The following is a 16,102-nucleotide window of genomic DNA, read 5'->3' on the forward strand; positions in this document are numbered from 1 at the left end:
TCTTGGGCATATCCCAAGATATCTACTTCGCATATCCCATGAGATGGAGAGCTACACTCCACCAACAATGGCCTTGTTCCCACTGGGCATCAGAGCAAGTGGGACTGGTCATGGCCTGGCACCACAACTAAACTCTGCAGAGCCTGAAGGTGCCCCTCCTGGAGATGCCACTCTTGCATTCCCACCTTCCCTGCCAGGGAAACCAGGCTGAGCAAGGCTTAGCAAAGGCCCAGCCTCAGAGAAGCTCCCTGTTTTAAAACATGGAGAGAACTCTGAAAGGGAAAGGGGGATAAGGCCAAGGACCAAAACAAATATTTCCAAAGACACTTTCATGATGAAATTTGTTATAAAATTAGATGGTGATGTGAGGGATAAACTTTGGCTTCAAACCAGCTCAAATGTGGTTTATTCTACAGTCTTCCCCAATTCTTCTCTGTGGAAGAGATGCGCTTTCAAATTCTTATAAGCTTTTCTTTCTTTTTGACAGGGTCCTGCTCTGTTGCCCAGGCTGGAGCATAGCAGCATGATCATAGCTCACTGTAGCCTCAAATTCCTGGGCTTGAATGATCCTTCTACCTCAGCCTTCCACATATGTGCATGCTACCATGCCTGGCTCATTTTTTAATTTTTATAGAGACAGGGTCTCACTATGTTGCCCAGGCTGATCTCGAACTCCTGGCATCAAGTGATCCTTCCTCCTTGGCTTCCCAAAACGTTGGGATTATAGGCATGAGCCACTACGCCCAGGCAACTTTCTCACTTTCTACTTGTATTATAGTTATTCATGTAAGTGTCTTATCTTCTGCATTGACTGTAACTTCTTGAGGGTAGAATCCATGTCTAATTTATCTTTGCCAACATCTGGCATACAGAATTAGTTCAAGATGAGAGAGTATCCAAAATGAATGAAGAATGCTTCTCAGCACAGGAGTGAGGAGAATGAGCTTCCATATATGGCCCTCAGAATACTAAGCCCAGTCCTTCTTCTCACTCGGTTCAGTAACTGCCAGAGGCAGCATACAGGGTTGGTTAAGAGCACAGTCTGGGGGCCCACTGGCTTGAGTTCAAATCCTTCCATGAGATGTTTTGTGTCTCTGGATAAGTTACTCAACCTCTCTTACCCCTCAATATTCTCATCAGTGGTGTGGGAATAACACAGGAGTAGCTTAATATGAGGAGTAGCACCTACTTCATAGAGTTGTTGGGGAGATTAAATGAGTTAATATGAATAAAGCAGTTGAACAGTACCTTGCACATAGTTAGCAGTCAGTAGATAGTAGCTAGTATTATTATTTGTATGCACTGCTTCTCTGTGGCTCTGATTGCCAAACTTTTTAAATCATGAACACCATAGTAAAAAAAAAATTTTTTTTTTGAGACAGAGTGTCACTCTGTCACCCAGGCTGGAGTGCAGTGGTGTAGGGAAAAGAGAGATCAGACTGTTACTGTGTCTATGTAGAAAGGGAAGACATAAGAAACTTCATTTTGACCTGTACCCTGAACAATTGCTTTGCCCTGAGATGCTATTAATCTGTAACTTTAGCCCCAACCTTGAGCTCACAGAAACATGTGTTGTATGGGATCAAGGTTTAACGGATCTAGGGTTGTGCAGGATGTGCCTTGTTAACAAAATGTTTACAGGCAGTATGCTGGGTAAAAGTCATCGCCATTCTGCAGTCTCGATAAACCAGGGGCACAATGCACTGCAGAAAGCCATAGGGACCTCTGCCCTGGAAAGCTGGGTATTGTCCAAGGTTTCTCCCCATGTGATAGTCTGAAATATGGCCTCGTGGGATGGCAAAGACCTCGTGGGATGGTCCCCCAGCCCGACACCCGTGAAGGGTCTGTGCTGAGGAGGATAGTAAAAGAGGAAGGCCTCTTGCAGTTGAGATAAGAGGAAGGCCTCTGTCTCCTGCCTGCCCCTGGAAACGGCATGTCTTGGTATAAAACCTGATTGTATATTTGTTCAATTCTGAGATAGGAGAAAAACCGCCCTATGGCGGGAGACGAGACATGTTGGCAGCAATGCTGCTTTGTTATTCTTTACTCCACTGAGATGTATGGGTGGAGAGAAGCAAAAATCTGGCTTACGTGCACATCCAGGCATAGTACCTACCCTTGAACTTAATTGTGACACAGATTCCTTTGCTCACATTTTCTTGCTGACCTTCTCCCCACCATCACCCTGCTCTCCTACCGCATTCCTCTTGCTGAGATAGTGAAAATGGTAATCAATAAATAATGAGGGAACTCAGAGACCGGTGCTGGTGCAGGTCCTTGGTATGCTGAGCGCCAGTCCCCTGGGCCCACTGTTCTTTCTCTATACTTTGTCTCTGTGTCTTATTTCTTTTCTCAGTCTCTCGTCCCACCTGACGAGAAATACCCACAGGTGTGGAGGGGCTGGCCCCCTTCACAGTGGCATGATCTTGGCTCATTGCAACCTCCACCTCCTGGGTTCAAGAGATTCTCGTTCCTCAGCCTCTAGCTGGGATTACAGGTGTCTGCCACCACGCCCAGCTAATTTTTGTATTTTTAAGTAGAGACAGGGTTTCACCATGTTGGCAGCTGGTCTTGAACTCCTGACCTCAGGGATCCGCCTGCCTCAGCCTCCCAAAGTGCTGGGATTACACATGTGAGCCACTGTGCCTGGCATAGTAAAAATATTTTGAGCATACACTTTCAGTAAATGTATATTAATGTACTTTGTAAATTATATAGGCATAAACTATTCAAATATATATTATATATTTAAACATATAAAATAGAATGTATGAGATAAAAAATAAATCTGACATTTCTAGAACTTTCAATATTTTCTTGTCACACCAAAAAAATTGTGTTGTTCATTTGCTGGAGTACATGCTTTCTCTAGAGACACCTACCCAACAGCACACCTTTGGTTGCCAGTAAATCTTGATGGCTTACTGGCTGCACAGATCCAGAACATTTTGTAAAAATAAAGGAATTATCTTTAACATATAAAATTTGACAGATGCATAAAAAGAAGGAAAATTGGAAGAAATTAAAGAACAGAAAGGGTAAGCAGTGAAAGAGAATGTATATTGGGAAAACCAAAAGGAAAGATGACCAGGAAAAGACCAAAACAAAATGTCTTTGAATTGTACTTGGTAACTAGAATTTATTGAGAAAAATTTTAGAACAGCTTCAGGTTTTAGATTTTCTCTCCAAAATAAAAATGAACCAGGATTGAATTACCCAAATGGCAATCAGATATTTTTCTTGTTGCCTGTGGCATAACCCACACTTTTTACATTTCTCTAAGTTTATTTCAAAAAGTGGTGCCTAGTGGCCCAATTACCTGGCACTAGTCCAGGGTCCTCTGTGGGGCAAGAAAGGCGGGGGAATTCCTTAAGCTAAAATAATCAGCCAGAAAGAGTTGATGGGTGTCTATTTGCACAGCCAGCCACCTCACTTTTTGTTCTTAGTCTTTCCCAAGAAAATGACAACTCATAATGTTTACTGTAAGGACAGTCACAGCATCCTATGACCTCTTCCATTTAAGGATCTCTAAGAAATAAAGAGTTCACGAACTATTATCAGTACTGCTTTCACCTCCCATTTGCGGACATAATAGAATAAGAGGTGATCTAATCAAGGGAGGCTACCAGTCTAGTGGAAAAAAAGAGAGCCTGGAATCTGAAATTGTATCTATGTGACCAGGAACAAGTCATGTTACCTCAAGTTTCTTCATATATAAGAGGAGAAAGAAAATAACTGTCTACCTATCTCATAGGCCTATTAGAAGATTAAAAGAAAATGTGTATTCCAAAAGCACTTGGAAGACATGGACCCTGGCTTTTGTCTGTGAACCAGAGAGATCCTGGAACGATCCTATCTATGATGTATGTGATGAGGGCTTTAGGATGAGGAAATATAATGAACAAAATTTAACTGGAATTGATAGGGAGGGTTATTACAAATTATAACATGGAGAAATCATAGCTCCTGTGAGACATGCCACAGGCCCTTGGTTTATGTCAGGCAAGGCACAATGAGCAAAGCCTAGGTGTGTCACATAGAAGAGGGATCAAAAACATATCAAAAACCTAAACATAGGTTTAAAAAACAAAAGAAGCAAACATTCTGATGTTTATTTTCCCTTTTTTTAAATTTTTGCCTTCAGACAATCTGACAGTTTTTTTTTTTTTAACTTTTGGCAAGTTTCATCTTACAAAGGATAAACTAATGTTCCAGGGGCAGCTTAAAGAGTGGGAGAGGGCTCCTACGGATTATCTTCCTTTTAACACATTCTCTTTTAGTTCTGTTCTGTGGATGCTCAATATGAAAAGAACAGATGTGCACATTCATTTAGCAAGTTCAGCAGTGCTTCAGTTGTCTGAGAGTGGTTCTTCCCCAATGGGAGTGGGCAAGAAGCCAGGACTGGTGTGGGGTGTTCTCAGCTTCAGCTGTTTTTCGGCCAAGAAAACACAGTACCCATGACTCCAGTATCCCTTGGAACCTTACAGACAATGGGAAACTGACAAACTGTCAAATCCCACATCCTTTGAAGTCTAGCAAATTTCTAATTCTTTTGAACTGCCTCCACAATTAGAAACACACTAGTGTCAGGAGCCACAGAGAATACTGTTTATTTCTTTTGCTCACAGGCTTTGAAGAAAGAATAATGCCTGGGTATCTTGGCAAGAGTTTATCTGTGACTCCCAGTTGATTCCAGGTGTCTTGGGTCTCCAGGAGTATGTTGTTCTATTATAAAGTTTAGGAAACTATCCTTGGCATGGATAGCCAAGCAGCACAGATTTCCATAGTAAAACTCTTAATTATTCCAGGTTTTGTAGGGGGTTGCTTTCTCCACAAGCTACCAGATATCCCCACTACCCTTCATTCTACCAGAGGAATTCCTTAGTTTCCTCTCCCAATACCCTGTAAAACACTTCTAAACCAGAGACCCTCTGGAATCTCCATCATAGACAGTTTAGTCAATTATTTCCTAATCATAACCTGGAGTATTGGATGAGAAGAGAGACTTTGCCAAGCAATATGGTCAAGAGACAAAAGATCCAAATGTCCGGACGTTCCACCTCCCCATACAAGAGATTTCAGAGCTTCTGCTGCAACAAAGGCCAATGATTAAAGTCATTTTGGAAAGGAGTCCTCCGTTGCTTCTGTTGCGAACCATAAACACAACTTGTAACCCTAGAGAAGAGGTGGAGTTACTGAAATCTCATGCTTTGATAATTACTGAATGACTTAATCTTGGAAAACAAATAGAAATCAATGTTGAGTTCTTTAAAAAAAAATGTTGCTACATGGAGCCAACACATCTAATCCATCTTTGGCATTACAAGTCAGTATGTGTCAAAGGCTACCAAAATCAACTTTGGTTGAGCACCAGGGGGTGGAGTCTATCAACTGATGAGAATGATTGATGAGAATCTTGCACAAACAACATTTATAACTAGTTAGAAAGTTTAGTGATTCAAACTAAGTATTTAAGATCAGAAGAGAGTCACTGGAGAATAATCCAGTTCTTGCTGTTAGAGCACATGAACTCAACCCTTCTTACACTCCAGAGAGGAATGTGTAGAACAGGCTGGTCATAGGCCATTGTCGGGGAGGAAGATTTTGACTGGACTGTTGCTGAATGAGGTAGGTACTCCTGGGCCTTTCTGACCTGAGTATCCTTGTAGATGTTCCTTACAAATTCTAGGGGTTTCAGTTCCATAGCACAGATAGTCCAGAGTACAAGACTCAGAACTCTGAACCCTCAGTTTCTACTTAGACTATGCCTGGAGCCACTCAACTTACTGAACATTCCTGGGTCAGACCAAAAGTCAAATGAACAGCAATGACTGTTGCTCTGTTGTTCTCCCAACTATGAAGTAGCTTATGATTGTGCCACATGGCTGCCGCCCTTCCCAGTCCCTTATGCCGAATCCCTCCTCCTCTACCTCCTTTTCTATTTGTAAATCAAGATAAATGTTACCAAAGGGCAAATTTTTAAAATCGAAAGTTTATAATCTAAGAGAATGTATCATAAAAGGTTATGAAGATTAAGGGAGAGAAGGAGTATGTTATTTCAAGTGGTAGGCCGGGCATGGTGGCTCACACCTGTAACCCCAACACTTTGGGAGGCTGAGACAGGCGGATCACCTGAGGTCAGGAGTTCAAGACCAGTCTGACCAACATGCTGAAACCCCGTCTCTACTAAAAATACAAAATTACCTGGGCGTGGTGGCGCATGCCTGTAATCCCAGTTACTTGAGAAGCTGAAGCAGGAGAATCACTTGAACCCAGGAGGCAGAGGTTGCAGTGAGCCAACATCGCACCACTCCAGACTGGGCAAAAAGAGCAAAACTCCATCTCAAAAACAAAAACAAAAACAAAAAACAAAAAAACCTGCCACAGCTTTTAAAGAAAGGCTGGGTACGGTGGCTCACGTCTGTAATCCTAGCACTTCAGGAGGCCAAGGTGAGTGGATCACTTGAGGTCAGGAGTTTGAGACCAGCCTGGCCAACGTGGCGAAACCCCGTCTCTACGAAAAATACAAAAAATTAGCCAGACATGGTCGTGGGCACCTGTAATCCCAGCTACTCCAGAGGTTGAGACAGGAGAATCGCTTGAACCCAGGCGGCGGAGGTTGCAATGAGCCAAGATCGCGCCACTGCACTCCAGCCTGGGCGACAGAGCGAGACTCCGTCTTAATAAAAAAAATAAAATAATAAAAATTTAAAAATCCAATGTGAAGCAGCTAGAGCAAGATTGAGGGTCTCAAAAAAGACGGGGCCTGAAGAGGACAATGAGAGAAGTGGAGGTTCTAATATCTCTACTGCCGTTTATACTCCATAAGCCGAAGTCAGATACCTAAGTGATCATCAGACAACAGGGTGCTGACCTAGGTTACACCCTTAAAATTCATCAGTGGTGTCATCTGCAAGATATTAGTAAACCAGCTTGTGAAGAATATAAGCCACAAACCAGGCAGAAAACACAAGAGAGCAGATGAGGCTGAACCACTACCACAGACTTCCTTCTTTTGTGTAATTATAAATACTACCCACTGCATTCTGGTTTCAGGGCTTTAAAAAGCAGATGAACTGTCTCTGTTAGAGATACTTTTTTATAATTAACTTCAGAGTCATTTATTAATTATCTTTTATAGTTAATAAAAATAAGAGGGAGCTATGTTTGGGTTTGGAGAACAATGACGATTATCGAAGTCTGAATCTTCGCCTCCCCTCCAAACCAGAAAATATAAAGAGAAAAGAAATAAAACTGCACAGGACCCATACATTCATCATTACTAGAACTAAGAGAACAATACATCCTTCAAATTACTTGTAGGTAGAGTAAAAACAAATTCAAACAGAGCTCCCTTAGCCTGCCTGCGGCTGCCACAAACCTAAAGATAGAGTGGGAGAGAGAATGCCTAAAAGACTGTCGTAAGAGTGGAGAGGTGAAGAGAGCTTAGAGGAAACACAGACAAAATCATGCCATATTAAAAAAACTGTTTTTTTCTCTATAGTCACACCACTCTCAATACTTCCAGAACACTTCACTTCTGATACCAGATGTGTGGGTTTTTCTATACACTGACCAATTCTGTGACACCAACTGGATGTTCTACAATTTAATTCAACTCTGACATTAACTGGAGTTAGCACAGACCCCACAGGTTAAGAGCCCAATCCCAGTAGATTTCAGATGCCAATCGCAAGTCCCAGGTTGTCACTTGGACTTCTGATGAACCAGCTATATATTAGTGTTCCCATAACTACCTCCTTGGGCTTGATAATTTGCTAGGACAACTCAAATAATTCAGGGAAACATGTTTACCAGCTTATTATATAATAAAGGATACCAATGAACAGCCAGATGAAAAGGTACATAGGGCTAGGTGTAGAGGTCCTGAGTGCAGGAACTTCTGTCCCCACAGAGTTGGAGTGCACCCCTCTCCTGACATATGGATGTGTTCGCCAACCTGGAAGTACTCTAAACCCTGTAGTTCAGGGATTTTTATGGGGGCTTCGTCATATAGACACCATCAATTATTAGCTCAATCTCCAGCCCCTCTCCCCTTCCCAAAGGATGGGGAATGGAGCAGAAAGTTCCAAGATTCTAATCGTGGCCTGGCCTTTCTCATGACCAGCCCCCAACCAAGAACTCACCAAGAGTCACCTCATTAGAACAGAAGATACACCCAGGAAACTCCAAGGAATTAGGAGTTCTGCATCAGGAACCATGGTCAAAGACCAAATATTAGAACAAAAGATACCTATTACCCCTATTGCTCAGAAAGTTACAAGCCCTTTAAGGAGCTCTGTGCCAGGACTGTGGATAAAGACCAAGATATATATATTTCCTATAAATCACATACTCACAAGAAGAGAAATTTTGACAACAGTAAGTGCCAAAATACTGAATAGATCTTGGTAGTTCATAGGGCTTGAAAGCGGGGACACCACCAACATTCCTGGCAGCCAAGTCAGATGCATGGACATCGTCTTTAACCACATCTTCACACTCATCCCTCATCTGAACTATCAACAATTTCATGGATTTTGCTATCTAAATGTTCATGTTCTCTAATCCATTTCCTTCTCCCCAGCCTCCCTGTTACTTCCCTTGTTCAGGTTGCTATCCTGTCACCCCTGGACTATAACAAAAACCTCTTAGATTCCTACCTTCACTCTCCTTTTCCCCTTCTGCTCTTCAATGTAACTTCCACTTTCCTTGTTAAAGTGATTTTTCTGACAGATAAACTTCCCTGGCATTCCCATGCTGGATTAGGTACCTCGCCTGAATCCTCCCATAGCCTCCTACATACCTTTATCACAGCATTATGACTAAAAGCATCCTTTTGGAATTAGACATTTTATACACTAGCTCATGTACTTACCTGTTTCATGACTTGGGAGAAGTTTTTAACCTCTTGGAACCTCCAGTTTGTAAAATGGAATTAAAAGTATTGCCTACCTCATAAAGTAGGAAATTAATACATGGAAAATACAACAGTGCCTGACATGTAGTAAGGGCTAAATTGATATTAGCTGACAACCACCACATAGTATTGAATTTTTCTGCTTATATATCTGCCTAACCCACTAAACCTAGCCTCATCATTTAAAAAAAAATTATAATGATTTCTGTTTTCAAAAAACAAACAGATTATCCATGTCCTCTACATGGAAAGTCTAATCCAAAATGTTTTGTGTTCAATCACTGAGCAAGATGGTCACATTTTCACAAAATTAATTAATCTGAGGCTGGGCATGGTGGCTGATGCCTATAATACTGGCACTTTGGAGGCTGAGGCAGGCAGATCACCTGAGGTCAGGGGTTCAAGACCAGCCTCAGCCAACATGGTGAAACACCATCTCTACTAAAAATACAAAAATGAGCTGAGGATGATGGCACATGCCTGTAATCCCAGCTACTTGGAAGGCTGAGGTGGGAGAATTGTCTGAGCCCGGAAGGAGGTTGCAGTGAGCCAAGATCGTGCCACTGCATACAAGCCTGGGCAACAGAGCAAGACTCAGTCTCAAAAAAAAAAAAAAAAATCTGAAATGAGATGGTTTGAGCATGATCTTACTTGAAGGTATGGAGTAGCCTAATTAATCATCTAAGCTCTTTCCAACTTGCTAATTGCAAATAATACCCCAGTGTTGTACTAAGGAAGCTTAATGGACATGACCAAAGTGCCTGAACTTTGGGACAGCCACAGGCCACCTATGCAAGCACAGCCAGCCCACCAGGCTGCAGGGTAGAGAGCACAAACAGCATTTGCTTATGACAGCCACAGGCTCAATGCTCACTGACGGTGGCTGTCTGCCTGCCCAGCTAACCTGTAGTTCTTCTGTATGGCCTACACTCTAAGAATGGTGTTTATATATTTTGAATGGTTGAAAAAAAAGCAACAGAAGAATAATATTTCATGATTATGTGAAAATGATATGAAATTCAAATTTTCAGTGTCCATAAATAAAGTTTTATTGGAATACAGCAACTCTCATTTATTTACATATTGTCTATGGCTGTTTCTATGCTCAATGGCAAAGTTGGGAAGTTGCGACAGAGACTGTATGGCCTGCAAAGCCTAAAACAGAAACTACCTGACCCTTCAAAACTTTACAGGAAAAAAAAAAAAGCCTACCCCTGCTCTAGGGTGCAAGCTCCTGTCTGCTTCACAATTGTAGTCACTGTAGGGGAATGAATTGTTGTGGGCCAAGTGAATTGCTTAAGAAAATGTGGCCATGTAAGAGGCAGAATTGGAATAAAAATTAGGACTCTTGACAGCTAGTCCCACATTCCCTAAATTATATTATTACTTTTGCTATCAGAGAGCTAATCCACACACTTCCACAGGAAAAAGAGCTTTGTCATTTAAATGGATGATTAATTTTTAAAATAAAACATAGACAAAAAGGTAATTCTTTAACACTCAATTTTTTTTTCTTTCTTTTCTTTTTTTTGACATGGAGTCTCTTTCTGTCGCCCAGGCTGGAGTGCAGTGGTGTGATCTCGGCTCACTGCAACCTCTGCCTCCTGGGTTCCAGTGATTCTCCTGTCTCAGCCTCCGGAGTAGCTGGGACTAGAGGTGTGCGCCACTATGCCTGGCTAATTTTTTTGTATTTTTAGTAGAGACAGGGTTTCACCATGTTGGGCAGGCTGGTCTCAAACTCCTGGCCTCAGGTAACCCACCCACCTCGGCCTCCCAAAGTGCTAAGATTATAGGTGTGAACTACTGCACCCAACCAACAAACCAATTTTTATTATCTGCTTTAAATACTGACCATCATCTATTGGTTTTAGCCTAGAAATGTATAATCACATAGCATCTCTCTATACACAATTTGGGTGTAATAAATACATATACACATTGACATATGTATATGATCTAATATATACCAAGGTGTATACATATATTTAATTTACCTACATATACTAGACATAGATGTACCTTTACATATATTTGCATGTAAACACACATATATGCACACTTTCACTGCATACACACCTGCCAGTCCTTCTGGTGCATCCTAATGAAACCTGATTTTCTCCTGCTAATGACATTAGCACCTGGCTGCTAATGACATTTCTTAATCAACTACCTCAACCTGCTAACACTGAAATAATTAGAAATTTTTGTCTAGCTGCAAGATTTTCATTTAGAGATAATCTGCATAAAAAATACACATTCGAGGCCGGGCGCGGTGGCTCACGCCTGTAATCCCAGCACTTTGGGAGGCCGAGGCGGGCGGATCACGAGGTCAGGAGATCGAGACCATCCTGGCTAACACGGTGAAACCCCGTCTCTACTAAAAATACAAAAAATTAGCCGGGCGTAGTGGCGGGCGCCTGTAGTCCCAGCTACTCGGGAGGCTGAGGCAGGAGAATGGCGTGAACCCAAGAGGCGGAGCTTGCAGTGAGCCGAGATTGCGCCACTGCACTCCAGCCTGGGCGACAGAGCGAGACTCCGTCTCAAAAAAAAAAAAAAAAAAAAAAAAAAAAAAAAAAAAAAAAAAAAAAATACACATTCGTGTGTACGGATATTATATAAATGTATTTATATTATGCTTCATTCTAGGAAAGAGGAATCAGAAATGCAAACCAGATTAAGAGTATAAAAAGCAACCAGAGGCCAGGCACGGCGCCTCACACCCATAATTCCAGCAGTTTGGGAGGCCAAGGCAGGTGCATCACCTGAGGTGAGGTCAGGAGTTCGAGACCAGTCTGGCCAACATGGTGAAGTCGCATTTCTACTAAAAATACAAAAAATTAGCCAGGCATGATGGTGCATGCCTGTAATCCCAGCTACTCGGGAGGCTGAGGCAGGGGAATCACTTGAACCCAGGATGCGGAGGTTGCAGTGAGTCGAGATCGTGCCATTGCACTCCAGCTTGGGCAACAAGAGCGAAACTCCATCTCAAAAAAAAACAACCAGAGTAAATAATTGGATTTATTCCATTGGTTCTATCAAAACAACTTATTAAGATGGAACTTCTAATACGTCTGAACTGTAACACTGCATTTAAGCCCATTTCTTTGCCATACTTTGCCGTCTGTTATTTAACTGACCTCATAAAATCCTCAAGAAAACGATTTCTTAAGAAATGCTCAGTTACAGCTGCATCAAACATCTTCTCCAAAATGCCTTTCAAGAGCACCAAATAATTTTAGTGTAACATAATCATTGAATGTCTGTTGTTCTCAGAAAAGAACTAACGTTGGAGAAAGTAATTAAAGCCAGATCCTAAAAGTCAATACATCTGAGGCTCCAGACACTGACTCTGCGTGTGCTGTGGTTTCCACTAAACACTAAAATGAGGTAATTTTTTATTCTTATTATGTTCACAACTCTTGCAAAACCTAACCAGGGTAAAAAATTTATTCATTTTTCTCATTAAGCGAATTATGTAGTGTGTAAGTTTTCAATGTCTTGTGCTAAAAACAGAATCTCTCCTATAGTTACCTTATCTAAGTAACGAGAGAGCATTCTTTATAAAGTGCAGATAATCTAAACATCTCAATTTACTCACTTTATTTTATTCTCTTTCCTTCTCTTTTTAAATCCAGGTAAGGAATTGTGAAATTAGTTTGTAAGTCACTTTCTCCTCCCCCGGCTTTGTCTGTTCCCTTTTGGGACTTAATAATTGGGCTGGAGGAGGCAAGGGGAAAGATTACCACATGCCCAGAAGTATGAATCTTGGAAGAGGTAAAACTGGTTAAAAGCCACAACACAGACACACACGTACCAAAAGCAGGGAGGAGAAAAAGAAGGATGAGAAATGATGAAAAAGAAAAATTTCAGGGTTGAGGGTGAGGGGAGGGAACTCAGAGTACAGGTCAATAGGTGCAGCAAACCACCATGACACACGCATACCTATGAAACAAACCTGCATGTTCTGCACATGTATCCTGTTTTGTTTTGTTTTTTTAGAAAAAAAAAAGAAAAATTTATTGTTCATGAATTTGAGTAGAACAACTAATCTTTTAGATTACTGAAAATAAATACATGTCAGTTTGTAAAAGATTAAATTGTTTTAAAGATATGCCAGAACTCAGCTGTATGGTCATATAGTTACCAAATGGGTAAATGCTTTCATCTACAATCTCAGAGCACCTAAAAATAGTACAATTTTTAGGCTCCAAAGAGTGAAAAGAAAAATGTCTGGACCCCACAGAATCAAAAAAGAATGACAGAAAACACTGGTCTCCTGATACTTAACATCAAACTTTGGCCAATACTCCTTCATCCCAAGGATGAGAGGAGCATCTAAAAATTAATCAATAATGTACATTAAGAGGCTATGTCATCACCATGGTAGGTTTCAATACTTCTAAATGATTTCTAGTTATTGTTCAAATATAACTGATCACCATATGAGAAATATAACCCAGTATTAAAAATGTTAATATTTTAAACTGTTTTGTCTAGTCTATCACCTTGTCAAAGATCTTTTGAAAGCCTGACTATATCATATTCATAGATAAAACTTTGTATAAATGCATGTTTAACCCTTAAGTTAATTGCAGCAGGTAAATCATGGCTTAACTTTAGAGGAATCTTTCAACTTTTTGTCTTAGTAGGTTACATACATCTAAATGATTTGTAACCCTTTTTGTTATTAAAGAGTTACAATATTTCCAATATGGAAGTTTCTAGTCCTCTCTGGGATATTTGTTTTGTGTTCATTTATTTAACTCTACACTATTAAATATACTACCAGGCAGATTTCTTAGGGACTTCTTAGAACATTAGTATCCCTGGTCTAAAATTGGGGGAAATTGACATTATGTGACACTAATGCTCCTTAAAGCAGATTCCCTTAAGTATGATTACATTGTTCCCAGTGAGCAACAGCAGACCCAGTGAGAAACAGCAAAAATAATTTGAAAACGTTTTTCTCTCACTAAGCTGTCAAACAACCATTCAGAACAGCAGTTCTCCGTTTCTACCTTTCATTTTCATAAAACTGTTACTGAATTAGTTTGCTGAGAAGGTATAAGACTTTGGGCCAGTCATTTAAGCGCTCTTGGCCTTTGAGGTAATTTTTTATTCTTACTACCTTAACATTAGGGAGTTGCTTTAGATGTTTCTAAGATTCTTTCAGCTCCAGAAGTTTAGAATTCAATGCTAGAGGTCTAGAGAATCTTTTGACCTGGAATCCTCTACAGCCCACACTAGTTGGGATGGTATTTTAACAGTCTCCTGTTAGTCATGTTAAAACTTCTGGGAAAGTCTACTTCAAATTGACAGAGATAATTTAAGGTTTGCCATGCTCTGTGGACTTCTCAGCTATTATTGCATTATCTTCCTACTTGTGGGACAAACCCTTTTATAGGTTTTTCTTTCTCTCTTTCTTCCCTCCTTCCTTCCTTCCCTCCCTCCCTCCCTTCCTTTCTTCCCTTTCCTTCTTCTCCTTCTCCTTCTTCTTTTCTTCTTCCTCCTCCTCTCCTCCTCTTCCTTTTCCTTCTTCTTCTCTCTCTCTCTCTCTCTTTCTCTTTCTTTCTCTCTCTCTTTCTATTCCTACTTTAGCTTCAGGTTTTTATGAGTGATTGGGGTTTTAAACTCTCAAGGCACATTTATCTAGAGCTTCCAATGTGTTTCAGTGCTTGTATTCCTAGGTTACTGCTTCCCTTCTTGTTCAATACATGTATGACACATGACTTTGGGGTTTTTTCTAACAGCATATTGATATGCTTGAAGTGATGAAAAAATTACACTGTGGCTTGCTCACAATATGTACTTTATGACTTCCTACACATCACTTAAGATTAGGTCTAGGAATTTTACTTTTCTCACACGCTCTTGAAGAATCAATTGAGCACGTAATCATTTATCCTAGCCAATTACTTATCTCATGCTTTCCATTCCCATAAAGGATGTTAGGAAGTATGTTTGAGTAACTTAAGTTCCTAATTGTTGAGTATCTGGCATAATTTTTCAAACTCCCCCAACTTTCATGATTAGATCATATAACATTTCTATCCACAGAATACTTTGTTTATATGAGAAGACTTTTACCACACTGCAGTTCATCGCTCTCCATGTAAAATATCCCTGTTTATTTTGAATCTGACATGAGGAAGGGAGAGAGTAGACAGGGAAAAATGGGAAAATAAATCTCAATCACTTTGGCTGTGGAGACCTAACTAAGAGCCTGGAGGTGAACTTGGTTCAACTAAGATCACATATGTGTTGTTACATTTCCAATCCATTTCTGTTTTTTCTACTGTGACCCACAAAATTTATTCAATTTGTACTTAATTAAACTAAAAAGTTTCAGCACAGCAAAAGAAACAATCAGCAGAGTAAACAGACAATGCACAGAGTGGGAGAAAATCTTCACAATCTATACATCTGACAAAGGACTAAGATCCAAAATCTACAACGAACTCAAACAAATTAGCAAGAAAAAAACAAACAGTCCCATCAAAAAGTGGGCTAAGGACATGAACAGACAATTCTCAAAAGAAGCTATACAAATGTCTAACAAACATATGAAAAAAAATGCTCAACATCACAAATGATCAGGGAAATGTAAACCAAAACCACAATGCAAAACCATCTTACTCCTGCAAGACTGGCCATAATCAAAAAGTCAAAAAATAATAGATGTTGGCAGGGATGCAGTGAAAAGGGAACACTTCTGCACTACTGGTGGGAATGTAAACTAGTACAGCCACTATGAAAAACAGTGTGGACACTCCTTAAAGAGCTAAAAGTAGAACTATCATTTGATCCAGCAATCCCACTGCTGGGTATCTACCCGGAGGAAAAGAAGTCATTGTACGAAAAAGATACTTGCACAGACATGCTTATGGAAGCACAATTCGCAATTGCAAAATCGGGGAACTAACCCAAATGTCCATCAATCAATGAGTAGATAAAGAAATTGTGGTATGGAATACTATTCAGCCATAAAAATGAAACAATGGCATTTGCAGTAACCTGGGTGGAATTGGAGACCATTATTCTAAGTGGAGTAACTCAGTAATGGAAAACCAAACATTGTATGTTCTCACTCATAATTGGGAGCTAAGCTATGAGAATGCAAAGGTATATGAACGATGCAATGGATTTTGGGGACTTGGGGGAAAGGGTGGGAAGTGAGTGAGG

General features: G+C 40.5%; 2 protein-coding genes across 24 annotated transcripts in view; one reads left to right on the forward strand and one right to left on the reverse strand.

The window, feature by feature from the left end:
• Positions 1–13,630, forward strand: part of FAM185A (family with sequence similarity 185 member A) — a 101,725-nt gene extending 88,095 nt beyond the window's left edge. For 3 of the 5 annotated variants that reach the window (NR_146986.3, NR_146981.3, NR_146982.3), the window contains one exon: positions 12,194–13,630. The gene's annotated coding sequence lies outside the window, so the exon portion shown is untranslated. Of the gene's footprint in view, positions 1–11,566; positions 11,688–12,193 lie in introns of all 5 variants that reach the window. The other 2 variants (NR_146984.3, NR_146979.3) reach the window with 1 other exon arrangement.
• FBXL13 (F-box and leucine rich repeat protein 13) overlaps positions 1–16,102 on the reverse strand; it is a 263,608-nt gene that overhangs the window by 25,905 nt on the left and 221,601 nt on the right. The window lies entirely within an intron of this gene.

This window comes from Homo sapiens, chromosome 7 (assembly GCF_000001405.40).
Source record: "Homo sapiens chromosome 7, GRCh38.p14 Primary Assembly".
Taxonomy (NCBI): domain Eukaryota; kingdom Metazoa; phylum Chordata; class Mammalia; order Primates; family Hominidae; genus Homo; species Homo sapiens.